This window comes from Homo sapiens, chromosome 11 (genome assembly GCF_000001405.40).
Source record: "Homo sapiens chromosome 11, GRCh38.p14 Primary Assembly".
NCBI lineage: Eukaryota > Metazoa > Chordata > Mammalia > Primates > Hominidae > Homo > Homo sapiens.
The window spans coordinates 88,740,717-88,753,032 of NC_000011.10; the positions used below are offsets into that span (position 1 = coordinate 88,740,717).

The window sequence follows — 12,316 nt, forward strand, 5'->3', positions numbered from 1 at the left end:
TCTCTCTCTCATCATTAGCACATCTTCAACCAAAGCCAGTATGTGCACAAGGCATGCTCAGATCTCAGCATCATGGGACCAGGAGATGGTGAAGGAAGCTAGGATTAAGCAGAATTTGCTTCCAAGAGTAAAGGATTTGGCAGGTTGGAGGAAGATTATCTAGCCACAGAGGTAAGTCCTAGTAAGGATGGTGGAGCAATCTGAGATATACCAGAATACGGTCCCATCATAGCCCAAATGGGATCTGTTGGTGGTATCTTCCTGCTATGTTCACTGCTATAGTAGATTAGGATTGTATACTATGTGTTCAGGATAGAAGAACAGCTTTACCTGTAGCAATTAATTAGTCAAATATAGAAGGCAGACAAAGAGTTGGGAAACTAGGCGGCAACCACAGCTTAAGAGGAGTTCACTGGTAGGTAATTAAATGATATTTATGATGAAAATAACAAATATCAGCGTGGCTAGTCAGGACCAGCTGACACTACTGGTCTGGAATACCATGAAGATAATCAGGCAAACTACAGAGTACAGAAATGAAGCAAAAATTCACTTTTGCAACTGGACCAGTACAGTAGGGAGAATGAAATATTGCAACTTGGTTGCAATAGGGCACCTGCTTCGGTAGGTGTAGCAACACAGTAATCTCACTCCCAGGTTTAGGCCTACAGTGATTAGACTTCTTGCTAAACTTCATTTGATGGGGCTGAGACTTCTGACATTCTTATTGCTTCTGCCAGGAAAGTCTTTACAGTTCCAACTCAAAAACTGTAAATATTTGAACCTATACATGGGATTCCTTTGACATTTATTCTTACATTCATGCATTCACTCCTTATCAAACACATACAATGTGCCATGAAAATGTGCAGGGGTTAGACCATGACCAAGACATAATCTATACTATAGTATATTAATCTATACCATCAAGTAATTTATTTTCTAGTAAGGTAGTTCTTCAATAATATATGCAAGACATAATCTATACTATACTAATCTATACTATCAAGTAATTTATTTTCTAGTGAGGTAGTTCTCTAATAAGTACTGAGCGCACATGGAAAGCAGTAGTGGCTCAAAGTTCTGGTGGTGTGTGTGGGTGGGAGGGTTAAGAGAGGATTTCCTGGAGGAAATAGATCCACCTGTGAGGATAATGGAGGCAGAGAAAGGTAGACAAGCAGCAACAGGAACATACACCTGTTTAATAAAAGCAAACACATTTAAAACAATATGGAAGTGGCCCAGCAAGATATCTACCCCAGTAAAAGAAATTCATGAAAACCACCCCCACTGCCATCTGATTACCATGTTCAGCTGCGGTGAAGTGGAAGGAAGGTTAGGCTGTGCCACAGATATTTATAGACTCTTAAATAGCTGTAAAAGCGTGGCATTGAATGACATTTGTGTAACCCCTTTCCTAATAATAGGGATTAGAGCTGCAGAAGATCTAGGTGGTCATGTAGTTCAATCTCTGATCATTTCTAATTCTAGAAAGGTGTAATAATAATTATTTACATTTGCATAATACTTTATAAAGCACTTTCATAGCCATTATCTTATTTGCTCCTCAAAACAATTTTCTGAAATAAGCAGGAATAATATCATCAAAATTATAAAAAACAATTTTCTGAAATAAGCAGGAATAATATTATCAAAATTATTATTGCCTGGAAAAGGAAACTTAAGACGGTAGGAAATTTACATTAATGGCTAGAGATGATAACACTAGGGAGTGGAGTCAAATCTGGGATCCAAATTTCTAACCTCTTATCCAATGTTCTTTCCATAATACCACCTGCTTTAATTTGCTAACCAAGGGAGAGCTGATACTTAGCAACTGGGAGTCTCATATCCTCTCTTGGTGACTCTCCAGGTATTTATTGTTCCTTTCTGTGAAGAGCCTATGAGGAGAGGGAGAAATCATGTTACACAGAGAAAGTCCTTCAAAGTACGACCTCTCTGGAACACCTATCTTAGTTTCTCTTTGGCAGTTTGTAGAAAAGGAATGTTTTTGTCCTTACCTCAGGCTTTCTATTTGAGAATCTGTGGGTGTAAGGAATGCATTTTTAACAAGCCCATTTGGGAATATTGATGCCATCTGGGAAGTGTAAAAGTAATTACAGAACTGCTTCTACAGAGTGTTGGTAGGCTCTACCATCTAAGACCCCCTACCCCAGTCAGAATAGATGAAGCAGAAACAAGACGAGGAGGAAGCTCCAGTCAGCTCCTCTTCATGCAGAAATGGCATCAAGGACTAGTATTAGAGAGGATATAGCCCCCGACAAATTCTATCAACTTCTGAAAAGATGCATTTAAAAACAGCGAGATTGCTATGAAAATATACCTTCAAGGAGACTCTCCTAGGCTCTCCTTCCAACAGAATTGCCATTTAGCCCTGTTTTATAGAAACCCCATGTCTGTTCTTGCATGGGCTATTACAGCAGGACCCACAGTTTTAAGGGAAAAGGGTGATGGACCATCTCACTTCTTCTGTAAGAATCCAGTAGGCAAGTAAATGTGTAAAGCTCTGAGGAAAATATCAAGAGAAAATATCTACTCAAGTTGCCACTACTTGGCACCAAACTGGGTACACGATAGACTTCATGTTATGTTCAGGTTTTACTAGTACAAGATTCTAGGGGGAAGGGGAAAGTGGTGAGCAGATGATATTTTCATAACCTGAGTATAATGGAACTTTATCTCAATCTCAGTTTCCAAACATCTAGGACATCCACACTTCTCATGCCAAATAATTTGCCTCACTGCTGGATTAAGTTCAGGGTGACTGGAAATGACAGAGCCAGGCCTTTCTCATAACGACCCTCAATGGTGACCTCCTCATAGAAGGCATTGTATCTTTTCTTCTGTGGACTCTCACAGGCTGAATGGGCTTGCAGGATTCAGAGCCAGTGAGAGATATGATTACAAAGCCTCAGGATAAGCCTTAGGCCATTTTACCAGGATCCAAATTATCAGTGAACCAAACAGCCTGGCTGGAGGAGATTTGAGGCAAATACAATCACATTGCATCGTATCAGAAACCTAATAACAATTTTCCACAAGTAGTCACTAACCAAAAATGGCATATTGTAGCCCCATAAGCAGCAGATACTTCTAATTAGCTCTAGATGATTGACCACACATACAGATTTGGCTATACATGCTAGAAGTAATTGCAGTTAATTGTCAATGGTAATGAAGCTTGTATTGACTAGTTAGGCAAACATCAAAAGCAAAATTCAAAGCTGTTTCAAGAAAATATTGAAATGATACAAAGGTTGCTGAACAAGGCAACTGTCCACAGATTTGTGAAGTTAATGTAAGAAGCATACTAGTAAGGTTCCATCCTATATCACAATTTTAAGGGCAGATTAATCATATACCTCCCATTTCCTAAGGTCTAAATTTAAAAATCTAGGACCATAGTTAGATAAATAACTTTGCGTCTTCTTTCAGTGGAAAGCCAAATGAGAGCAATTTGATTTACATTAAGTATTTTCAAGTGAATAATATTAATGAAAGGCCAGAGGGAAAAAATGACAGGAAAGAAAATTATACCGAGGCCTAATAGCAATACATTACAAACAGACAGGGAGACATTAACAGCTAGACATTCTGTGCAGCAAACCATTATTTATGACAAGGTCACCTTTGCTTTAAGTAGATATTCAGCAGTCATTGCATAATAGGCTAGTGGGGACTTCAGAAATCTTAAAACCTCGCCCCTTTATTTTATAGCTTTTGCAACTGAAGCCCAGGAGTGGGGAATGGAAGAGAAGGAAAGGAACAAGTATCGAGCACCTATGGTATGAAAATGCACATTTCTATGCCTTTCACACACCCCACCTTTCAATCCCTACATGAACCTTGAAAGGCAGGTGTCACTGGTCTCAAGTCATGCTTTAGGAAATTAACGCTTCACAGCAGAAATGGTAGGGCGTGTCCTACTGCACCATGATGCCTTCCTAAAAAGAAAATAAAGGTGGCTCATTTGGTGAACCAGCACTGCTCTGGTATTAGAATCCAATCCTGACTCAGGAATCAACCCATAACAACTCTATCAGAAGTACTTTCGAGAATCTAAAAAATAATATCCAAGAACCATTTAAAAAGTGAAAACATTTGGCAAACACTGAGTTTAAGGTTGAGGTAAGTCCTACATACTCCAGAATATGTATCTATATGCTTACTCAGAAATAAGGAAGTCTAGTAGAGTACATTGATTAAAAATGATGACTGACATTGATTGAAGAGAGAGTGTATGCCTGTCTGTATACTAGACTATTTTAATTGATACTCAATTATAATTGTTATATTTTACACATAGCAAATAAATATACCGTAGAATTGTTAAGTGACTTCACAAGTTATATAGTCAAGAAATGGAAAAGCCAGATTTTAAACCCAGGGTTATGGTCACCCAAAGCTTTTGCTTTTTCTCTACTACTCACTTCTCCTAATTTTTTTTTCTTTTTATTTTTCTTTTTTTTTTTTTCTGAGACAGAATCTTGTTCTGTTCTATCACCCAGGCTGGAGTGCAGTGGTACAATCACAGCTCACTGCAACCTCAACCCTTCGGGCTCAATCCACCCACCCACCTCAGCCTCAGCCTCCCAAGTAGATGGGACTACAGGCACGTGCCACCCCACCTAGCTAATATTGTATTTTTTGTAGAGACAGGGTTTCACCATTGTTCCCAGGCTGGTCTTAAACTCCTGAGATCAAGCTATCCACCTGTCTCAGCCTCCCCAAGTGCAGGGATTACAGGCATGAGCCACCATGTCCAGCCTGATACTCTTTACTCTTCACTATAACATTCTTAGGCTGAGCAGTTCGTTTGGACCTTGGCCTTGTAGATCTTGTAACTTCTATCTTTTATTTTCTTCATATTTTGTAACTTCAAACTTTTATGTTTCTTTTCTGTACCAGTCTTGTGTCTCCAAAAAGATGGAAAACTTAAGTGTCTCTCTATTTAATTCCAACACCCAGTGTGAGACCTCACAGATTGTTGGCAGAGAAAATGTCAATAGTGATATCTGTGAGAGGAGCTGCTTTTGGTAGGCTGTAGTGATAGAGCCTCTAGCAGCCAATCCACCTCAGCGTTTTTATTCAATCACTTTTTGCTCATGCTGAGAAATTCCTGAGGCATTCAAGAAGTAGGCATTTCTGAAAAGCCCCATCTACTACTTAAGTGACCTTGGGAATATTATTTAGTCCGTCTGTGTCTTGGTTCCCTCATCTTTAAAACGAACCTAAGATCACATATCTCAGAAGCTTGAGTAAAAATTAGAAGAAATAATTCTTTGTTGAGTGACTGGCATGTAATAAGCATGCAATAAATGTTGATCATTATAGCCCCCTTTGGTTCCAACCTTTGCTAATCACCCTTGAATAATCCTTAGATTGATAACCCTTGGAATCCCTCTGCTCCTCCTTGACCTCTTTAACACGGCCCAACAAACAGCTTAACTCAGGTGTTGTCTCTCTAGGAATAGCATCATCATTATTCTTACTCCCACAGCTCTGGCTTGGTTAATAATACATTTTTTTTGTGTGTTTCCTCTGAAATATATATAGACTTCCACAATAACTTCTACAACACTGTAAAGTAGTTTTTCCCCTTTAATTTTCCTTTTTCCTTCTACTGGGCAATAATATGCTTGACAACAGGGATGGTGCCTAAGGTATCTTTGTTTAGCCTGATTCTAGCCTAGTAAGTGTCACATTTGTGCTGAATTAATCCCAGATATCATATACAAACAAACAAATTATTCCTATACTGGAGACTATAGTGGACAATTTATTTTCTTGAGGCAGAAATGGGATTCAATTTGGCCTCAATGATTCTGGAGACAAAAAAAAAAAAATAAGCTTAAGCCAACATCTTTTTCCAATATACGAGCTGATTTATTTTCACCTGCATTCATCATATACTAACTGCTTATTAAATGAAAATAAATTATCTGAGTTTCTGACTTCTTGCTATAGCCAAAGATAGAGACTGTTAATATGCTAGAATAGCTATTTTCTATATATTCACACATCAAAGATGGTTGTAATCAGAAAAAAAGTAGCATGTAAGAAGTTGGGAATAAAGAAGTATGGCTGCTGTTGCCAATATCAAAACTTAAAAATTTAATGGAGTCAAGAAACCTAACCATAAAAATCCAAAAATCAATGAAGCATATCGTTTAGACCTTGTGTTTCTTTCTGAAACTTTCAGGTATACAGAATATCCAATTTAAACAGAATTTTTAAAAATGTCATATATTATTTTTTACTTTGAAATGAACAAGATTCACAAAGTAAGTATACTGTGAGTATAATATTGTCATTGCATAAAGAAGACACCCCGTTATCCAATTATTTTAATGAGATAATATTCCATTTCTAACAAACAACCTTCTGTTTCTCACTAAAACCAAAGGCTCTCAACCTGGTTTCCCATTTTCTGGTAGTGACGAGTTAAGGCTTCAAAACTGTTTCCAAAAACACAGCTCATTTTTCCACAAACTCTAATGATTTATTCAGATGCATGTGGTTTTCACCATGTCAATGTGAATACAGCATAACAAGCTGGGTAACACATTCCTTAGACTTAAGCATTGGAGATAAACAGATTATGACTGAAACTGACCTAAGACTTGGAGTAGATATAGAACGAAGATAAATGCCTGAATTTAGATAAACATGAAGCTTCTTACTTATGTTCCTGTTAAACTACCAGATCACTAGACCCCACTAGAATATTTCTGAACTCTAGGCTGTACGTGTACCTCTAAATTTTAAAAAGCCTCTCTAGATGATAGATACACACAGTAAAGTGTAAGGACTACAAAGTGATTTCCTAAAAATGGAAAGGTGTCAAGTAGTTCTTCCTTATCTAACATGCAGGTAGATAAGAAAAATTCACTAGAATATACATACTTTACTTCTCAGATTTTGTGGTAAGAAAAAGTGAGTGCAGTTTGTCTAACCGGCTATCCAGGAAAAAAAAAAAAAGATCACGTAACGAGGAGTAACACAGAATAATGGACTAAAAACATATAGAAATACCATTTTAATAGTTGTTCAACCACCTTCTGCTTAGAAACTGATTTGTGTTATTTTTTATTAAAATCAATTATTCATTGACCCAGAGGGCCAATTAGAAGCAGCTGTGGTCTGCAGCACTCATGGAGAGGAATATAAAAGGGTGAGTGAATTCAGCACCTTCGACTGAAATATCCAGGTTCTTACATTGGGATTGACTAGGCAAACAACCTGACCCACGAAGAAGGAAGAAAAGTCAGAGGTGAAGTATGTTCCACTCTGGAGTAGCAGAGAGCCAAAGGAACCCCCATCCCCAGGCAAGGGAAGCAGTAAGTGATTGTACAACCCTGCCCAGGAAACCACACCTCTCCCATGGATCTTTGCAACCCATGGATCAAAATATCCCCTATGAGGTGATCCCCACCGGGGCTTTGGGTCTGATAAACAGAGTTGTGTGGAGTCTCAGCAGAGCAGCCACTCAGGCACACACAGAGACTGGGAGTTTTACATACTCCAGCCCTGGGATTCCTAGCAAGGCATGAAAGCCAACCATAGCTATACCTAGGAAGGGAGCTTAATCCAGGGAGCCAAGCAGTATTGTTCTGCAGGCCCTACTTCCATGTCACCTCACAAGTTAAGAACCACTGGCTTGGAATCCTAGGCAGCCAACAGCAGTGGGTTGAGGTCTTCCTGAGATGGGTCTGAGTTCCCAGGGGGAGGGGTAGCCATCATCTCTGTGGTTCAGTTGAGTCAGCTGCTCCAGCCTGCAGGCTGTGGAGAACATAAGTGGTCTGGATGAGAAAGGGTTCACCGCAATGCAGTGTACCTGCTCTACCAGAAAGCATCCAGACTGCTTCTCTGGGCAGGTCCCTGATCCCGTTCCTCCTGACTGAATGAGACCTTCCAATGGAGGTCTCCAGCCACCTCCTACAGGTGAATGCAGGCTGGCAACAGGTCAGTACCCCCCCAGGACCAAGCTTCCAGAAAAGACACTGGATGCCATCTTGCTATTTCACAGCCTTCACTGGTGATACCTCCAGGTATGGGAAAAACTGAGGCAACTGGGTTCTGGAGTGGACCCCCAGCAAACCACAGCAGCCCTACAGTAGAGTGGCCTGATTGTTAAAAACAACCAAACCGAAAACAACAACAATAACATCAACAGAGAAACCCCACAGAAACCCCATTCAAAGGTCAACAACCTCAAAAGTCAAAGGTAGATCAGCCCACAAAGATGAGAAAGAATCAACACAAAAATGCTGAAAACTCAAAAAGCCAAAGTACCTCTTCTCCTCTAAATGACTACAACACCTCTCGAGCAAGGACCCAGAACTGGACTGAGGCTGAGATGGCTGAATTGACAGAAGTAGGCTTCAAAAGGTGGGTAATAACGAACTTCACTGAACTAAAGGAGCATGTTGTAACCTAATGCTAAGAAGGAAAAAGTGATAAAACAATAAAGGAGCTGATAGCCAGAATGGCCAGTTTAGAGAGAAACATAACTGATGTAATGGAGATAAAAAACACAAGAGAACTTCACAACGCACTCACAAGTATCAATAGCAAAATAGACCAAGTGGAGGAAAGAATCTCAGACCTTGAAAACTATCTTTCTGAAATTTGACAGACAGACAAGATTAGATAAAAAAGAATTAAAATAAATTAACAAAACCTCTGAGAAATATGGGATTATGTAAAAAGACTAAACTTATGACAGATTGGGGTACCAAAAAGAGGTGGGGAAAGTGGAACCAAGTAGGAAGACATACTTCATGGTATCATTCATGAGAACTTCCCCAACCTAGCAAGGCAGGCCAACATTCAAATTCAGGAAATACAGAGAAACCCAGTAAGATACTCCACAAAAATATCAAGCCATAGACACATAATCATTAGATTCTCACAGGTTGAAATGGAAGAAAAAATATTAAGGACAGCCGGAGAGAAAGGCCAGGTCACTTACAAAGGAAAACCTATTAGACTAACAGTGGACCTCTCAGCAGAAACCCTACAAGCCAGAAGAGATTGGGGCCAATATTCAACATTCTTAAAGGAAAGAAATTCCAACCCAGAGTTTCATATCTGGACAAACTAAACTTTATAAGTAAGGAGAATTTTTTTTTGAGACAAGCAAATGCTGAGGGAATTCTTCACCATGAGGCCTGCCTTGCAAGAGCTCCTGAAGGAAGCACTAAATATGGAAAGGAAAAACCGTTGCCAGCTACTACAAAAACACACTGAAGTACACAGACCAGTGACACTATGAAGGAACCACACAAACAAGTCTGAAAAATAACCAGCTAGCATAATGATGATAGAATCAAATTCACATATATCAATACTAACCTTAAATGTAAATGGGCTAAATGACCCAATTAAAAGACACAGAATGAAAAGCTGGACGAAGAGCCAAGACCCATTGTAATGCTGTCTTTAAGAGACCCATCTCACATGCAAAGACACACACAGGATCAAAACAAAAGGATGGAGGAAAAGGGATAGCAAGAAAATAGAAAACAGAAAAAAGAAGTGGTTGCAATCCTAGATTCTGACAAAACAGATTTTAACCAACAAAGATCAAAAATGACAAATAAGGGCATTACATAATGGTAAAGTCTTCAATTCAACAAGAAGAGCTAACTATCCTAAATATATATGCACCCAATGCAAGAGCACCTGGATTCATAAAGCAAGTTCTTAGAGACCTCCAAAGAGACTTAGACTCCCACATAATAATAATGGGAAACTTTAACATTCCACTGACAATATTAGATCATTGGGATAGAAAATTAACAAAGATATGCAGGATCTAAACTTAGCTCTGGATCAAGTGGCCCTGATAGATATCTACAGAATTCTCCACCCAAATTCAATAGAATATACATTCTTACCACCACACATCACTTTAAAATTGATCTCATAATTGGGAGTAAAACACTCCTCAGTGAATGCAAAAGAACTTAAATCATAACAAACAGTCTCTCAGATCACAGCACAAATTAGAACTCAATATTAAGAAATTCACTGAAAACCACACACCTACATGAAAATTGAACAACCTCTTCCAGAATGACTCTTGGGTAAATAATGAAATTAAGGCAGACATCAAAAAGTTTGTTGAAACTAATGAGTATAAAGAGGCATCTCTGGGATGCTGTAAGGCATGGTTAAGAGGGAAATTTATAGCACTCAATGCCCACATCAAAAACTAGAAAGATCACAAGTTAGAAACTTCACATCTCAACTAAAAGAACTAGAGAAACAAGAGGAAAGAAACAGAACTAGAGAAACAAGAGGAAACAAACCCCAAAGATAGCAGAAGCCAAAAAAAAAAAAAAAAAAAAAAACAAAGAACAAAATCAGAGTGGAAATAAAGGAAATAGAGACATGCAAAACCCATCAAGAAATGAACAAATCCAGGAGCTGTTCTTTTGAAAAAATTAATAAAACAGACCACTAGCTAGATTAAAAAGAAGGAAAAAGAGAAGAATCAAATAAATACAATCAGAAAGGATAAGGTGCATATTACCACTTACCCCATAGGAATTTAAACAACCATCAGAGAATATTATAAACACCTCTATGCACATAAACTAGAAAATCTAGAAGAAACCGATACATTTCTGGACACATACACCCTCTCAAGACTGAACCGGGGAGAAACTGAATCCCTGAATAGACTAATAATGAGTTCTGAAATTGAGGGAGTAATAAATAGCCTACCAACCAACAAAAGCTCAGGACCAGACAGATTCACAGCTGAATTCTACCAGAGGTACAAAGAAGAGCTGGTACTATTTCTACTGAAACTATTCCAAACAATTGAAAGGGAGTGACTCCCCGTTAAGTCATTCTATGAGGCCAGCATCATCCTGACACCAAAACCTGGCAGAGATACAACAAAGGAAAGTTCAGGCCAATATCCTTGTTGAACATGAATGCAAAAATCCTCAATAAAATACTGGCAGACTGAATCCAGCAGCACATCAAAAAGCTTATCCACCATAATCGAGTTCGCTTCATTCTCAGGATGCAAGGTTGTTTCAACATATGCAAATCAATAAATGTAATTCATCACATAAACAGAACTAAAGACAAAAACCACACGATTATCCAAATAGATGCAGAAAAGGCCTGTGATAAAATCCAACATCCCTTCATATTAAAAACTCTCAATAAACTAGGTATTGAAGGAACATACCTCAAAATAATAAAAGCTATATATGACAAATCTACAGTCAATATCATACTGAATGTGCAAAAGCTGGAAGCAGTTCCCTTTAAAACTGGCCACAAGACAATGATGCCCTCTCTCACACCTCCTATTAAACATAGTATTGAAAGTTCTGGCCAGGGCAATCAGGCAAGAGAAATAAATAAATGGTATTCAAATAGGAAGAGAAAAAGTCAAATTATCTTTGTTTGCAGATGATGTGATCCTATATATAGACAACCCCATAGTCTCAGCACAAAAGTTTATTAAGGTGAGAAGCAACATCAGCAAAGTCTCAGGATATAAAGTCAAAGTGCAAAAATTGCTAGCATTCATATATACCAACAACAGGCGAGCCAGAAGCCAATCATGAATGAACTCCCATTCACAATTGCTACAAAAAGAATAAAATACATAGGAATACAGTTAACATGGGAAGTGAAGGACCTCTTCAAGGAGAACTACAAAACACTGCTCAAATAAATGAGAGAGGACACAAACAAATGGAGAAACATTCCATGCTCATGGATAGGAATAATCAATATTGTGAAAATGGCCATACTGCCCAAAGTAATTTATGGATTCAATTATATTCTCATTAAACTACCTTTGCCATTTTTCACAGAATTAGAGAAAATATTTTAAATTTCATATGAAACCAAAAAAGAGCCCAAATGGGCAAGACAGTGCTAAGCAAAAAGGACAAAGCTGAAGGCATCATGCTACCTTACCTGACTTCAAACTGTAATACAAGAGTACAGTAACCAAAGCAGCATACTACTGGTCCAAGAACAGACACATAAACCAATGGAACAGAAGAGAGAACTCAGAAATAAGACTGCACACTTACAACTATCTAATCTTTGACAAACCTGACAAAAAACAGTAATGGTGAAAAGATTTCTTATTTAATAAATGGTGCTCAAAGAACAGGTTAGCTATATCCAGAAAATTGAAACTGGACCCCTTCCTTACACCATATGCAAAAATTAATTCAAGATGGATTAAAGAATTAAGTGTAAAACTCAAAACTATAAAAACCCTAGAAAAACATCTAGGCAATACCATTCA

General features: G+C 38.3%; 1 protein-coding gene across 4 annotated transcripts in view; it reads right to left on the reverse strand.

The window, feature by feature from the left end:
• GRM5 (glutamate metabotropic receptor 5) overlaps positions 1-12,316 on the reverse strand; it is a 561,341-nt gene that overhangs the window by 236,075 nt on the left and 312,950 nt on the right. The gene's annotated exons all lie outside the window — the stretch shown is intronic.